The 17719-nt window shown below is 39.9% G+C and overlaps 1 gene segment (V, D, J or C) and 1 further gene, besides 4 other annotated features; both read left to right on the plus strand.

Moving 5' to 3' along the window:
- Positions 1-17719, plus strand: part of TRA (T cell receptor alpha locus) — a 930229-nt gene that overhangs the window by 149411 nt on the left and 763099 nt on the right.
- Positions 11679-11730: a sequence feature (TRAV7 leader sequence).
- Positions 11679-12189, plus strand: TRAV7 (T cell receptor alpha variable 7). The segment is given in 2 exon segments: positions 11679-11730; positions 11905-12189. Coding segments are annotated over 2 exon segments (337 nt in total), but the record flags the coding sequence as incomplete, so codon positions are not given.
- Positions 11905-11915: a sequence feature (TRAV7 leader sequence).
- Positions 12197-12219: a recombination feature (spacer).
- Positions 12220-12228: a recombination feature (nonamer).

A 17719-nucleotide genomic window follows, 5' to 3' on the forward strand; every position in this document is an offset into this window, starting at 1 on the left:
GTAGACCAGGGTAATGGGGATGGGAAATGTGGAGGTGGAGCTGTCTGCAGTTGGAATTTTAAATGTGGGGAGGGAGTCATGGTAGTTCTTATTGAATAAGTATGTGAAGAAAGTGGGGGAGGAAGTAATACAGTTATCTAGGAGAGCATGAACCACCTTGGCAAAATTGTGACGGTAAGAGAAATCTGACATAGCTGACTCCATTTTGCTTCTAACCTCCAAGCTGTCCTGTTCATTCCTGGGTGTAGGCCAAGCTGACTTTGGGAGAAATTTAGTTTATAGTTTAACCTTAAAGCAAAGATGATAATAGTCCTTCCCCAAACAACCCCTTCCTTGGTTGGGGGACCAAAACTGCCTTTGTAAAACTAACAAATTAGCCGTAAGATTAGAAATTATGACTCAGGAGTTATGCAGGCAGAGGTCAAAACATTAGTAACCTCCCCACTTGCTCCTATGGATATCAACTCTATCATAGGACCTAAGATTGGTGTTCAAGGTATTTTTCAGATTCTAAATCCTGCTGGACCAGCTGGTGCCACCTGGACTGGTAAACTGGCTCAACTGGTTTTGTGATCCCATCCAGGAACTGACTCAGCACAAGAAGATATCTTCAACTCCCTGTGATGTCATCCCCAACCCAACCAACCAGCATTTGTCAATCACTAGCCCCCTGCCCACCAAATTATCCATAAAAACCCAAATTTTTGGGTCTCCAAATTTTTGAGTGCTGTGGGTGGGGGTCTGGATTCTTGATTTTGGGCTTTGAGTCTATTCCTGATGACTTTTGGCTTGGTAAAAAGTCTTGATTTAGAGCCAGCTCTTTTACATGGTTTAATAAAATAATCCACGCATTATTATTAATGCAAAGATTAATTATTAATTAATAATACATATTATTAATGCATAGATTATTATTAGTGTACTTCTCTGTATGGAAAAGAAGTCTGATCTCTTTAGGGTACTGTTTTAACTCAACCGTGGGTCCTTCTTACTGGAAAGATTTCTTTCTTTAGTACACCATAATTTATTCATTGTTTTCATAAGCATCATTGCAGAGGAAACAGAGATTTTTGTTTTTTAGGAAAGCTGATCCAAAATTTAGAGATTATGAGTTTATTGGAGGTCTATGATTAAAATAGGATTACCATACAAAATATTTTTTAAGGCAAAACAATCTTTCATTTTATTTGTTTGCACAGGTGACACCATTATCCACATGGAACCACAAGGATTTATGAAAATTCTGGCATGTCTTGCCAGTTGTTCCAACTGAAAACTATCCTATGCGTGGAAATTTGCTTCTACCTCAGAGTCTAAAATTTAAGCTAAGAATCTTGAGTATGCTGTGGTAAAATAGAAAGAATAACTACATTTAAGTAAATATCGAGCAACTATTTGCTTTCCTTATTTTCCTCCCAACTCTTCTGGTTTTAATAAGATTTTCTAGTTATTTAAATTGAACTATTTAGTTGATTTAAGTTGAACCAACCCAAGAAACAGGAAACTAGTTAAGTCACCACTTGAGCAAAAGAGAAAGACGAGAATTAAGTTAGGTTGACAAGTGTGAGAAGAAAAAAGAGAAAAAGTTTTGTTGATCTTTTTAACCTCTTAAATATCTCATATTTGTCTATTTTCCACCGTCACCACCACCTGGAGGAATGCAGTAGCCTCCTAATTGTTATGTCTGTATTTACTTTAGCTTTTGCATTTCTGATCTATTTAATACATTAGCCTGCCAAGATATTTTAAAAAATGTGAATTTAATCCTATCATCTCCCTGCTTAAAATACTCTTAAGCCTTCCTGTTGTGTTTATCAAAGGCCGAAATCCTTACCAAAACCCCTCCATGGTTTGCTCCCTACTTCTTCTCTAGTTAATTTTTACTGCAATGCCCTTTTCATTCTTTTATGCTCCCATCCCATAGGTCAGTTTTTATTTCCTTGAAAGTGCCAGATATCCCTTACCTTGGAGTCTTCCAAGATACCATTTTCCCTGCCTGGAATTTTCCCTCATTCTTTCCGTGAGATCCCAATTCAATTGTCTTTTGGAAAAACCTTCTTTGACACTTCACCCAGTTTTCAAATAGATAAAATTTCTTTATGTAAGTTCTCAAAACACCTTCCTATTAGCTATTATTAGATGAGTTTGTGTTCCATGAAAGCAGGAACTATGTTTATCGTTTTCTTAGCATTCTATTACTAGAAAACTATGACCTATGGCTCATCTAGACAATGGAGTCACTGTGTCTAAAACTAATACTAAGATAAAGATGGTGGAAGGTCATGAATGTTCTTTTTCTAAATAAAGACCTGTTTTTGATCTCCACCCTTGGACTTTTCCAGTTTTGTTTTCATAGCTCTTCATATTGCCAGGCTGTACTACTTTTTGAGGAGACGGTTTCCATGTCGAATTAGCTCCCCTGTGAAATGGGTTTCTTTCCCTTTATTCTAACCTGGTCTTCCTGAAGTTCTATAGGGAGGCTGTGTCTAACCATCATGAAATTTGATGAGCCTGTACTCTGATGATTTTACAGGTCCATCCTGTGCTTCTCATGATTTTACAGGTTCCTGTCCCAGCTGGTCTATCTTTTTATTACAGATGTGAGTGTCTTGATGTAGAAATCTCTCTTCTCTGCTGTATGCTTCCTACCCAGCAACTTTTATTTTTATTAACTGGAATGTGTCTCACTATGTTGCTGTTTTCTAAATCTGTTAGGAGATAAGACATTCTGCTTCAGTTGGATGTTGTTTATCATGTATTGTATTACAATAAAAACGTATGAAACTTTATTATAGTATATAATGTTATTCTGGACTACATGCATCTATCAATAAATAATTGTTAGGCATATTCTGTGCTCCAGGCATCTTACTACATGCTGTTAAAATACAGCTCCTGCCTTGAAGCCCTTACTGGTCACACATCAGAAACTCTTCTTGTTCCTAAAATGACAAATCAAACAAACAAGAATAAAACAAACCTCTTTTTTGTATTTCTGTCTTCACATTGCTATGTATTTGTTTCAAAGAATGAAAATTGGTTTCTATCTGAAACTAGTAATTATTAACATTTGTTTAGTACTGACTACATGTAAAGTATGGGGTTAAAATTTTTACAAAACATTGTTACTTAACTTTCATAGCAATATCTGAGAAGATTTCTTTATCATGATGATGAAACTATTACTGGCACTATATAAAATATTCATAATAAGAGCCACTGACTTAGCCAGCACAAAAGTTAGATTTGAACCGTGTCTACCAGATGCCCAACGCCAATATTTAAGCACTATTTACTGCTACTAGCCTAGAGATCTCTGTTTTCTGATGATGCAGCTTGGACATGTATCATTCCTGTATTCATTTGAGGAAAAGAAACAAAGTGGAAGCTCAATAGTAAGTAAGCCAATTATTTGCAGCTGCCTGTACCTCAGCACACAGAAGCCAGTCAATCAGTGAAAGTGTTCTTTGATATTGAGTTATATAATTACTGAAGAGTCCTGCTTAAACAGATGTTGCTGTGTAGGCGCTCCAGCCATAGCCTGGATTTTAGTAGATCCTGGAGATACCTGCAACAATAGATCATGGAGACACCTGTTATGTACTTAATAAGCATATTTTCCAAATTAGAAAATGGAACATATGATGTGATAATTGTAAGTAAACACAATAGACATATGCAGGACACTATATACAGATAGGTATTTCCCAGCATGTATTTGTATTTTTAACAAACAATGTTTTGTTGCTGCTGCTTGGCATCAATATAGGCAACTGGGCAGATGTTGGCAGTGAGGGGGAGAAGGGTAAGTTTACCAGATTCTTCTTAGTTGGTTATTAGAAATGAATGCACTAGTTAGTGTAAACAACTTTGCTTTCTTATCATGAGCTGAAAAATTTTCACCTTAGGAACTGACTAGAGAATGTACAACATTCAGAAGCCTGAAGGTACGTAACTATTAGTTCTCAGGCAGTCTTCAAAGCCCATCATAAATAGCATTTGTCATCAAATCCTCCCATACATTATAATGTGCTGTAGCTGAATACAGTTACTGGTTGAATTATTGATCTTGCTAAAAATTAAACTTTACCTATTTGTATTTCCAAGTGTCATTGTTACTCAAATAAGGAAGAGTTAGTAAAAAAAAGTTTTGACAAATGGCACTCAAACAATTTGGTATGCTTACATATAGAAAAATAAACCATTATCCTTATCTTACATTGTACACCAAAATAAAGTCAAAATGGGTCATAGATCTAAAGGTAAAGGAAAAGCTGTAGACCTAGAAGAAAACATTGGAGAAGTTATTCACAACTTTTGGGTAATAAAAATTTCATAGGTATGACACCAAAATCATAAACCACAATGAGGAAAAATCATGTCTTGGACTTCATCAAAATTAAAAACTTCTGCTCTTTCATTAATAAAATGAAAAGACAAGCTTTAGACTGGGAGAAATATTCTCATGCTCTTGATGCCCATATCTGACAAAGGACTTGTTTTCAGATATCTAAAGAAGCCCTACACCTTAATAATAAAAAGAAAAAAAGATATAAGTAGTCAAAAGATCTGAATAAACAGTTCACAAAAGAAGATATGTAAATGGCAAATGAGTACATGAAAAGATGCTCACATCACTGGTTATCAGATGAATGCAAATCAAAAGCATGAGATACACTACATACTCACCCAAATGGTGAAAATTAAAAAAACCTATAATTCTAAGTATTGGCTGGGATGTGGGGTAACGAACTCTCATACTTCTCTGTGATGGTTGGGGGACACAGCAGTGTATTTCTCTGCACTTATTGAAGCCACTGAGAGAGAAATGATGAAGATGGGTCTAGGAGAGGCATGTCTAACCCCAGGACTCTGCTTGAAATGCCCAGCTGCTTCTGGAGCCAACAGGAAAATCACTACACAGACAAGAAGTGGCTAGGGGTGTGGCAACACAGATGTGGAGGTTACAGAGAAAACATTCATTGTAAGAAAAACACCTCCTGTCTGAGCCCAAAGAGCGCATCTACCAGATGTATCATTTACCAGAAACATCTTTACCTGTGAATCTTGACTTGAAGGTGAGTTTAAAATCACTATCAATTAACAATTAAGGTTAACAATTACAACAATTGGCTGTGTCTTAATTAAACTAAACTGGCTAATGAATTGGCTAATGAGACTCAGAAATACGTGTCTGAAAATAAGTAAAATAGCTGTGAATTGTTGGATGTTCAAATTCACTCATTCAACAAATATTTTGAGTGTCTACCATGTTCCAGAAATTGTTCTAAATATTAATGCATCTCTTTGTTTCTTAAAAATAAATACTGTTTCACAAATAATTTGGTTATAGGCCAGTGTGTTAAGTCACAGGGCTTTCCCCCATGGAGACCTAAATGTCTGCATTTGTGTCAGAACAATACTTTCCAAATGATCTAGTTCCCTGGAGTGTGCAGATGACTTGTGTTAATGGCTTGTGATGGTGACCCCATCTATCAGAGGTGTTTGAACCAGAGCAACTCCATCTTGAATGGGGGCTGGGTAAAATGAGGCTGAGACTTACTGGGCTGCATTCTCAGACAGTTAGGCATTCTAAGTCACAGGAGGTCAGCACAAGATACAGGTCATAAAGACCTTGCTGATAAAACAGTTTGAAATAAAGAAGCTGGCCAAAACCCACCAAAACCAAGATAGCTAAGAGAGTGACCTCTGGTCATCCTCACTGCTGTGCTCCCACCGAACCATGACAGGTTAGAAATGCCATGACAACATCAGGAAGTTACCCTATACGGTCTAAAAAGGGGAGGCATGAATAATCCACTCCTTGTTTAGCATATACTCAAGAAATAACCATAAAAATGGGCCACCAGCAGTCCTCAGGGCTGCTCTGTCTATGGAGTAGCCGTTCTTTTATTTCTTTACTTTCTTGATAAACTTGCTTTCACTTTATTCTATGGACTCACCCTGAATTCTTTCTTGTGCAAGATCCAAGAACCCTCTCTTAGGGGTCTGGATCGGGACCCCTTTCTGGTAGCACATCTGCACTAAAATCCGAGTGTGCATCAGGTTAGAATGAGGATTGGAATATGTGGGCTATGTTGTATGCAGAGTTTAAATTTTACTAAAGACTCTCAAACTGTGTTGTTTTTTTTTTTTTTTTGCGACTGAGTCTCGCTGTGTCGCCCAGGCTGGAGTGCATGTGCAGTGGGGCGATCTCGGCTCACTGCAAACTCCGCCTCCCAGGTTCACGCCATTCTCCAGCCTCAGGCTCCCTAGTAGCTGGGACTACAGGGGCCACAACGCCCGGCTATTTTATTTTTTATTTTTTAGTAGAGATGGGGTTTCACCGTGTTAGCCAGGATGGTCTCGATTTCCTGACCTCGTGATCCACCCACCTCGGCCTCCCAAAGTGCTGGGATTTCAGGCGTGACCCACCGCCCCTGGCCTCCAAACTGGTTTTTGAAGTGTTATAACTTTGTGATTTGACTCTCGAGAGTGGTTTCTGAGAGTCCGTTTCACCACTTCCTTGACAGCCTTGGTATTGTCAAACTTAAATTTTGTTCGTCAACCTGATAAGTGTAAATGCTTTAATTTGCATTTGATTACTAGTGAAGGGTATCATCTTTTTATATACTTATTAGTCAAATGAGTTCCTTCTTTTCTGAATTCGCTGCTCTTCTATGGAGCTTTCACTATTCTCTACATGATTTATGGGCATTTATTATAGGTTCTTGAAAATAATCTAGTGTAACCTGTCTTGATAAATGTCTTCCATATATGGCTTGCTTCTTCGTTTTACCTATGGTTATTTTGTATGCAGATAGTTAAAATTTTAATGTAGTCAAATTACTAGTCTTTTCTTTTATAGTTTAGTGTTTAGTATCAAAGATAACAATCTTTCTTACTATGAGGCCTTAATACAGTGTTTTCCAATGTTTTCTTCTAATTATTTTAAATTTAATTTTTCTCATTTGGGTATAGTAATGTTGTTTTTGAACAAAGCTTGAGGAAAAGTTATATTTTATCTCTCCCCACACCAATAAATAATACTAGGTATTCAACAGTTTAATCTTTCTCCCATATTGGTTCTTCCGTCTGTTTCCCAGCTAATTATCTTCCACTACTGAAACAAGATCTTCCTGAGAACTCTACCTAATAATCCGTGAATTAGGAGTTTTTCCAGTTTGACTGCTGGGAACAGGCAGGATTCTTGTTCCCAAGGGAGCACCAAGTGGGCAGTGCTCCTTGTAATCCTCTTGGATGTTTTTTTCCGCTGGCCTCAGGTAGTTGTCTCCCATGCATGTGCTGGCCAGTATTCTGCTGGGTACTCAAGGGAGACCCTACGCAGATCTCTGCAGTTTTTTCTCGGTGCATCTCTTTTCCATTGGGTGCCCTATGATGTGAATTCTATCTGCCTTGATCTCCCAGATCTGAACTCTGTTTCAACTCACAGAACTGAAAAAGAAGTTAACCCGAGCCCCTTCCCCATTTATTATGAAAGACAGGAATTTTTCATAGAAACATTTCAAAGCGAATGTTAAATTAGCATTTTAAAAGTTATATTTTAGGCAAATTTCCAGATAAACAAACTGGTTAAGACACAATTTTTTCACTTCTAATTTTGCATCAAAATTAGGTTCTCTTTTCAAAAAAATTATTTTATTTTATTAATTTTTTTGAGACAGACTCTCACTCTGTCACCCAGGCTCGAGTGCAGTGGCAGGATTTTTGCTCACTGCAACCTCCACCTCCTGGGTTCTGGTGATTCTTGTGCCTCAGCTTCCCAAGTGGCTGGGATTACATGCATGTGCCACCACGCCCAGCTGATTTTTGTATTTTTAGTAGAGATGGGTTTCATCATGTTGCCCAGGCTGGTCTTGAACTCCTGGCCTCAAGTGATCCGCCTGCCTTGCCCTCCCAAACTGCTGGAATTAGAGGTGTGAGCTACTGCATCTGAATAAAAGTAGATTCTCTAGTCTTCCCAGGACGTAATGGATCTGATTGGCCCTGTCCAATCAGTGCTGCTGGTTTCCTTCCAGTCTGCTCTTAGCTTTGTATTTACGTTCTCCATTATTTTCTGGAGAAAGACTATCCAAAAGCCATATCTAAAGAACTGCCTTTTGGGGAGATTTGTAAAAGCTACAGTGTTGCTAATCTAAATCAAATGTAACTATTTTATAATTACACATAAAGTAGATTAAATGAATTATAGGCAAAAGGAAAATTATTTGATTCTTAGTGGATAAATGGTATGCAAAAGGATTTATATTCTTAGTACACGGTACTATTCACAGATCTGTACTGTTACTATAAACACAGCTACACATGCTTATCTTTCTGCTATTTAGAAGAAATTAAAGAGGAAAGCTGGAAGCATCAAATCTGCATGATGTTTTTGGGGGATGGAGTAGGGAGGTTGTGGCTATCATGGGTGCAAAGTTGAGTTGGCAAGAGTCAAAGGGGACTTCTAGTTTTAATTTTAATTGATGTTTTTTCAAAGCATGCCATTGATGTCATTCACATAATATTATTTAAAATGATGTGGATAGGCTGGGTGTGGTGAGCCCATGCCTGTAATCCCAGAATTTTGGGAGGCCGAAGTGGGCAGATCACTTGAGGCCAGGAGTTCAAGACCAGCCTGGGCAACATAGTGAAACTCCGTCAACCCTGTCTCTACTAAAAATACAAAAATTAGCCAGGAGTACTGGCACACGCCTATAATTCCAGGTTCTTGGGAGGCTGAGGCACAACAATTGCTTAAACCCTGGAGGTGGAGATTGCTGTGAGCTGAGATTGCACCCCTGGACTCCAGCCTGGTGGAGTGACACAGTGAGACTCTGTCTCCAAAAAAAAAAAAAAAAAAAAAAAGATCTGGATAAAATCAAATGGATTTTGATTTTGTCAATAGTGGTATGATCTGGGTTACTCTCTATAATATAATTTGTTATAGTTAAAAAAAATTTGTGCTTGAAATCAAGATACGGTTGAGGCTGGGGATATGAAGCCACTTATCTTTTGATTAATTCGAAGTTTACAGCTCTATGATACAATCATATGCTGTTGCCTAAAAATATAATACTGACATCTTAAATGTAAGTTTTCCTCCAAGATATTTCTTTCTCACACTGCATTCTTGACTGAGTGACTAAGGTTTGTCATCACATTCTCTTACCTCTCTCTAAGGATTCTGCCATATTTGCTCCCAGCACCCATGTATCTGATCCTGATGGCAGTGGTGGCCTGTCTGGAGCAGCTGTTGCGGGGATGCCCGCTGCAGTGGGGGAGGTGCGGCCAGGGCTTTGCACTCTACAGAGCTGAAGGGAGCCGGGAACAGGCAGGAATTCCCTGCCTCCTACCGAGTTGGTAGACGGGGAGCGCTGTGCTCCTGGGTGCAACTGCAGCTGCCCAGCTGTGGCTCCAGACCCAGGAATCCTTGTGCTTTTGGGGGCCTGGGAAGCCTCCCTGCCCCCACAGGCTCAGAAGTGCCTGCTCCCATTCCCTGGCCTCTCCTCACTCCTGGCACCCACTCCGAGTTTGGAGCAAAGTTGTGGCCGAGTCTGGGTGCTGTCGCAACCCGGCCGGTTGTACACGTGCTTGGAGAAGTACTGTCACACCAGCCCCTTACTGCTGCCTTGGCCCCCTCTGGACTTTGGGTACTGTTGAACATGGGAAGGAGGCTTGGAGTAGGGGCCAAGGGAAGCTTGGTGTGGGCCTACAGGCACACCTCTGCGATGGCCTGAAGCCTGGGGGCTGGGCTGCCAGTTCTGGGTGGAGTCCACCGCCCAGAGTGGGAACTTACCGTGCTTTTTCTGGGTCCACACATGGACCAATCAGCACACACTTTTGAACCCATAAAAATAGGTTTCGAACCCATAAAATGTCTTTTGAAAAATGTCTTTTGAACCCATAAAAAATGTCTTTTGAACCCATAAAAATCTTGAACTCGGCCAGATTCACACAGATGTCGGGACTATCAACTGCAGAAAGGAGCTACCCACTTTGGGTCTCCCTGACTTGTCAGGACAACCTGCCTGTGGAAAGGAGCTACCCATTTCAGGTCTCCTGAGCGCTGTTCTGTCACTCAATGAAGCTCCTCTCTGCCTTACTCACCCTCCATTTGTCCACGTATCTCATTCTTCCTGGACGTGGGATAAGACCTCGGGACCTGCTGAATGATGGGACTGAAAGAACTGTAACGCAAACAGGGCTGAACACCACCCCAACCCCAACATCGCACCCCCTATGCTCACCACGTTGTGGGAAATGAGGAGAGAGCTGTGGCCCTTTAAGGAGCCCAGACCTGGGAGCTCCCTGAGCCAGGGCTGTGACACCCAGTTTGGGGCTCTGCAGTTCCAGGCATCTCCAAGCTTCTGGGTGCCACTGCATTCCCTGGTGCCCATTGTGGAAGCTGCTTGTGGTATGCCTGGTCCAGCTTCAGCCTGGCAGGGAGCCAGGGCCTGTGCTGGCACCTGGAGCTGCCCACCCCACCACAGCCGGCATACCTGGCTGTGCGCAATGGCCGGACCCTTCACTAACTCACATACCCCTTTCCACTCCGTGCCTGGCTTACCCTTGGCAGCTGTGGTATCTGGGCCAGTAGCATGAGCTGAATGTAGCCTGCTGGGCTGAGTAGGTGGAACGAGCCCAGTGGGCCCAAGCAAAACTTGGGCAAAGATGCCACTGGACACAGAGGTTTCGAGCTGGAAAAGTGACACCCTAAGTGTCCTGTGACAATCCTACAGAAAAGTTGTATTGCTTTCTAGAGTACATTTCCAAATACGTATTCCTAACATTCACTTTGATATGGCTACGGGAGGCCTTGCATTGTGTGTTATTTTCTTTTTCTTTTTTTTTTTTTTTTAAGATGGAGTTTCGCTCTGTCATCCAGGATGGAGTGCAGTGGCACGATCTCAGCTTACTGCAACCTTCGCCTCCCGGGTTCAAGCAATTCTCCTGCCTCAGCCTCCTGAGTAGCTGGGACTACAGGTGCATGCTGCCATACCCAGCTAAGTGTTGTATTTTTAGTAGAGACGGGGTTTCGCTATGTTGGCCTGGCTTGTCTTGAACTTCTGACCTCATGATCCACCTGCCTCGGCCTCCCAAAGTGCTGGGATTACAGGCGTGAGCCACCACGTCTGGCCACTGTGTGTTATTTGGAACCTCCGTGTACCTATGTTAGCTTTCCTTGGCTTTATCAGTTGAGATTGTTGCATTTTGAAGAGAACATATATCCAGTTCTTCTGTTTTGCCCATCTGCTCCATAATCACTGGTGATAGTTTTGCTCTGAGATAGATCAGGCCTCAATGAACAGATTAGTAAAAGAAAAACACAGGAGAAAGTCATGATGATCACATTATAGAGGCTTATAAAATAAGAACAATTCCTCCAATTTAGAAGTTGGAGGAATTTTTGCACGTGGTGTTAGCAGATGTGCACAGCGTTAACATTTCTTTAATAATTTTGCTTATAGCCACAAGGTGACAGGGGTTCTCTTTCATTTGTAAACTATGTCTTTCTTATACCTAGGAAGTATGTTTACGTTAGAAGAGCATATTGCTGATTGGTTGACAGACAGACAGGCTGTTTCATTTATTAGATTAAAAGAAACAAACAATAAAAGCTTTGTTTGGCTACATAATTTTATGCAGCATTTTTGGTATCAAGACAAAGTATCAGGATGGAGAAGATGCGGAGACCTGTCCTAATTATATTTTGTCTATGTCTTGGCTGTAAGTTGAGGGTTCTAAGAACTGGGGACCCCAGGAGACATTTATTCAAGTCCTTTTGGGGAGATGGGGATGTAGTCTGGACTTACTTGTCATTGCTTGTTTGAGATTAAGAAATAAAATTATGAAAGGTCTAAATTAAAATGTACATATTGTACCTGATGTCTTTCTGAATAGGGGCAAATGGAGAAAACCAGGTGGAGCACAGCCCTCATTTTCTGGGACCCCAGCAGGGAGACGTTGCCTCCATGAGCTGCACGTACTCTGTCAGTCGTTTTAACAATTTGCAGTGGTACAGGCAAAATACAGGGATGGGTCCCAAACACCTATTATCCATGTATTCAGCTGGATATGAGAAGCAGAAAGGAAGACTAAATGCTACATTACTGAAGAATGGAAGCAGCTTGTACATTACAGCCGTGCAGCCTGAAGATTCAGCCACCTATTTCTGTGCTGTAGATGCACAGTACTCCCTAGGCACCTGCAACCTGTATCCAAACATGCAGCTGGGTAGAAGTACCATAACAGAAGCATCAGCAATAGGGGCCCTGAGCCTGAGTAGACGTGAAGAACTAAGGCATGAGTATGACCAGAGAGGGGAGGAGATAAAGGGTGCTGTTCATTTGACTCATGTATCTTTTATCAGGCCACCCTTCACAAAGACCGTCTTTGTGCCTTATTTGAATTGATCAATCCTGACCCTTCCTATCTTCAGCAGAATCCTTTAGTGCCCAGGTCAGTCTTCTAGCATAGAGAGCACTTGTTCTCTTCTCAGGCCTGGTGGAAACACATGTCAAAGAAATTTGAAGACTGTTGTTTTTCTACTGTAAAATCTGACAAAGGAACTACAATGGTTGGAATCATATGTGAAAAATGCTGTAGCAGTGGTTTTCATTTACTCACCCACTGAACAAGTATCTCTCAGCTCCTGATATGTGCCAGGTACTCTTTAGTCATTGGGATGCATTGGTATTGAACATAGCAGATAAGCCATCATAGAGCTCATGTTTCCTAAGTTTCTGGGATACACAAAGGGGAAACCAAGTCTGCCTAGGATTTAGAGGTTCCCGAGAAATTGCAGCAAGAGTTTAGTTTCATCTTCATCAATCATTTTTCTCATGGAAACATGGTTAAAGATTGGGGACAGCTGAATGCTGCTTGAATCTGTGGGTCAAGAATTGGCTTCACATGTTGAGGTATTGTCTGCCAGAGTTGAGGAGAAATGCCAGGTGGTTTTCGGTATCATCTGGCCATTTCCAAACAAGTCTGGAAAGTGAAGTGCTACAGGCTGTCATAAATAAAACAAATCTATAAAGCCTGACCCTTTATTTAATGGAATTGTGGAGTTCAAATAAAATATCAAATACGATGCTATTGATGAATAGCACTAAACATTGGACATTATTTTAAATAATTTGTAGAGTAGCTTTCTGTTACTGTAGATTCTAGATGCTCTTTTGGGGACCCAGCTCAGGACAGGCTAAGTGGAATTTGTGAAACCATCAGAAAGGAGAAAGGAGAAGCTCAGTCCACTGAGCCAATGCTGTAGGAGTTCTTTATATCCAGAATACATAACGAATGGCTCCAACTTTATAGTGCCAATTAAAAATATGTAAAAGACTTGAACAGGCATTTTACAAGGAAGATAAAGGAATAGCCAATAAACACATGGAAATTTGTTCTATGTCTTAAGTCATAAAAGAAATGTAAATTAAAACCACGATGAAATATTACTTTATACCTATGTCTAAAATTAAAAAGACTGACAACATCAAACCCTAGGTTTCCAGTGGCCTTGCTGTCCTGAACAGGTGCAAACAGCCCAGAGCTGGGGAAGTCTACAGGCCCTGAATATCCAGGAGGAATAGCCATTGCCATAAATTGAAATGAATATGATTCTGGGATCTTGTTAAAAGTATACATTAACTTAGGGTAAAATATATGAATTAACTTAGATAAAATGACGGCAGTATTATGGCAAGTCTTCCTATCCAAAAGTGTGGTAGGTTTTTAATTCTTTTGTGATCTCCAGGAGAGTTGCAATATATCCAGAATATAGAAAGAACGACTACAACTTTATAGTAACGATAAAAAACATGCAAAAGACTTGAATACGCATTTTACAAGGAAGACAAAGGAACAGTCAATAAACAAATGGAAGTTTGTTCTATGTCTTAAGTCATAAAAGAAATGTGGCCACGCACGGTGGCTCATGCCTGTAATCCCAGCACTTTGGGAGGCCAAGGCGGGCAGATCATGTGGTCAAGAGATTGAGACCATCCTGGCCAACATGGTGAAACCCTGTCTCTACTGAAAATACAACAATCAGTTAGGTGTGGTGGCGCACACCTGTAGTCCCAGCTACTCAGGAGGCTAAGGCAGGAGAATCACTTGAACCTGGGAGGCGGAGGTTGCAGTGAGCCGAGATTGCGCCACTGCACTCCAGCCTGGTGATAGAGTGAGACTCCATCTCAAAAAAAAAAAAAAAGTAAATTAAATGAGATATCACTTCATACTCATGGCTAAAATTAAAAAGACTGACAACACCAAATTTTGGTGAGAATGTAGAGTCCCTAGAACATGCCTTACTCATATAGGTTTAAATGGATACAGCCACATTGGAAAATACTCACCCTATGATCCAGCAAGTATCTTTTGAGGCATTTACCCAAGGGAAATGTAAAAAAAAAAAAAATCCACTTTCCTGTACAGGAATATTTATAGAAGCTTTATTCATAATAGTTCCAAGTTGGAAACAACTCGAATGTTCATCAATAAGAAAATGGAGCACCAAATTGTAATTTATTCATACTCAGCAGTAAAAAATAGACTACTGACATATACCACATTGTAAACGAATTTAAAAATTTTAGTTGATTGAAATAAGACAAACATGGAACAATAAAAAGTGTATGGTTCTTTAAATATAAAGTTCAAGAACATGTAAAACTAATATATGTGAATAGAAATTTTAAAAAGTGCTTGTCTGTGCAGGGTGGAGATCCAGTAGAAGGTGGTGTAGCATTTTCTGGGGGGTAATGAAAGTGTTCTATTACTCTATTGGGGTGTTGATTTCAAGAGTATATACATTTGTCAAAACTTCAGTGTACATTTGAGATCAGTGCATTTCCCTGTGTGTAAACTCTACCTCAATAAAAATTATTTAACTAAAAAACCTTATTTTGCAAGGATTTAAAACAATCAATAAATTGTATCCTTACATTAGCAATGAATAAGTAAAAAATTAGCAATGAGAGGCACACACTCATTCAATAACTGTTTTGGATAGACAGCAAAGTCACTGACAGTGGCTTTTCTTTTTGATTCCTGGGATCCTTCAGAGACTCCATCTCTTTGATGCTGCAGAAAACTGGGGTCACTGGTGGCAGGTTTCTTGTGGTAGGTAGATTTCCCATGAGCACCTGTTTTGATCTGTGTTTCCCTGCCCTTCCAATGGTTGAGAAGCTTCTGATGCTGTATGTTAAATGCCAAGAGAGAATTCAGTTTCCCTGACTTTACCCTATTTAATCTAAATCCTTGGATTACAATTGTTGGGTGCTAGAAATCAGATGTTCCTAATAAAGCCCACTGTTACTTGGGAAAATAAGCAATTTGTGTCCTTGATCATATGGTTCTGACATATTTCACTCAAACCTACTGGTATAATTCCTAAGATATATTCTCTACATAAACTCATAGAGAAGAACAGGATTTCCCCCACAGAAAGAGACAGTGTGGACATCAAAGGAAACTATGTTAACTCAAAAAGGTGAAGCCATTATGAAAATAGAGTCTCTTCACCTTATAGGTGTGCTGTTCATATAAGCTAAACGGATTACAGACAAAGGTCCAAGGAACAGGGGAAGAGGGACACACTGGTTCTGACCTTCATGAAGATAAGGCACAAAGGAGGAGGGAGAAGGAAAAGAGTCTCGATGCTTCGACCTAAACAAATCCAGGAGAGTGGATTCTGCAGGAAATATACTACTTTCTTGTCTAAGGATAAAACTTTACATGGCTTTTCAGAGCAATGATCTCTCTCTCTCTCTCTTCAGCATTTACCATTTTTTAAAAATTTTATTTTATTATTATGATACTTTAAGTTTTAGGGTACATGTGCACATTGTGCAGGTTTGTTATGTATGTATACATGTGCCATGTTGGTGTGCTGCACCCATTAACTCGTCATTTAGCATTAGGTATATCTCCTAATGCTATCCCTCCCTCCTCCCCCCACTCCACAACAGTCCCTGGAGTGTGATGTTCCCCTTCCTGTGTCCATGTGTTCTCATTGTTCAATTCCCACCTATGAGTGAGAACATGCAGTGTTTGGTTTTTTGCCCTTGCGATAGTTTGCTGAGAATGATGGTTTCCAGTTTCATCCATGTCCCTACAAAGGATATGAACTTATCATTTTTTATGGCTGCATAGTATTCCATTTTTTTCATAAGCACAAAAGGCAAGAAGAAGGAACTAAATAGTGTTTATTTATTTTACCATGAGCTGAGAGTTTAGCAGCTTGGGAGCATTTTTCCACAATGCCAGAACCTTGTCTTTGAATCTTTGATGCTCCTCTAGCTCACTGTTCCAAAATGGCATTTTAAAAACCATTGCTGATACTGCCTAAAGCAATTTACAGATTCAATGCTACTCCTCTCAATCTACCAAAGACATTCCTCAGAGAATTAGAAAAAACAATTTTAAAACTCATACGGTGCTGGGCATGGTGGCTTATGCCTGTAATCCCAGCACTTTGGGAGGCTGAGGCTGGCAGATCACCTGAGGTCAGGAGTTCGAGACCAGCCTGGCCAACATGGTGAAACCCCATTGCTACTAAAATTACAAAAATTAGCCAGGTGTGCCAGTGGGGTCCTGTAATCCCAGCTACTCGGGAGGCTGAGGCAGGAGAATCGCTTGAACCCAGGAGGCGGAGGTTGCAGTGAGCCGAGGTCATGCCATTGCACTCCTGCCTGGGTGACAAAGTGAAACTCCATTAAAAAAAAAAAACTCATATGGAACCAAAAATAGAGCCCAAATAGCCAAGGCAGTCCTAAGCCCCAAAATAATGCCACATATCTACAATCATCTGATCTTTGACAAAATCGACAAAAATAAGCAATGGGGAAAGTACTGCCTGTTCAATAAATGGTGTTGGGATAACTGATTAGCCATATGAAGAAGATTGAAACTAGACCCCTTCCTTATGCCATGCACAAAAATCAACTCAAGATGGATTAAAGACTTAAATGCAAAATTTAAAACTATAAAAACTCTGAAAGATAACCTAGAAAATACCATTCTGGACATAGGACCTGGCAAATATTTCATCACAAAGACACCAAAAGCATTTGCAACAAAAACAAAAAATTGACAAAATGGATCTAATTAAACTAAAGAGCCTCTTCACAGCAAAAGAAACTATCAACAGAATAAACAGACAACTTACAAAATGGAATAAAATTTTTGCAAACTAGGCATCCAACAAATGTCTAATATCCAGAACCTATAAGGAACTTAAACAAATTTATAAGCAAAAAACAAGAAACCCCATTAAAAGGTGGGCAAAGGGTACAAACAGACACTTCTCAAAAGAAGACATACATACAAGTGGCCAACAAGGATATGAAAAAATGTTCAACATCACTAATCATTAGAGAAATGCAAATCAAAACCACAGTGAGATGCCATCTCACACCAGTCAGAATGGCAACTATGAAAAAGTAAAAAAATGACAGATGCTGGTGAGGTTGTGGAGAAAAGATTATGCCCTGCTGGTGGGAATGTATATTGGTTCAGCCATCGTGAAAAGTGATGTGATGATTCCTCAAAGAACTTAAAACAGAATTACCATTTGAGTCAGCAATTTTGTTATTGGGTATATGCCCAAAGGAATATAAATTGTTCTATCATAAAAACACATGCATGAATATGTTAATTGCATTACTATTCATAATAGCAAAGACATGGAATCAACCTAAATGTCCATCAATGA

The sequence above is a fragment of the Homo sapiens genome, chromosome 14 (assembly GCF_000001405.40).
Source record: "Homo sapiens chromosome 14, GRCh38.p14 Primary Assembly".
Taxonomy (NCBI): Eukaryota; Metazoa; Chordata; class Mammalia; order Primates; family Hominidae; genus Homo; species Homo sapiens.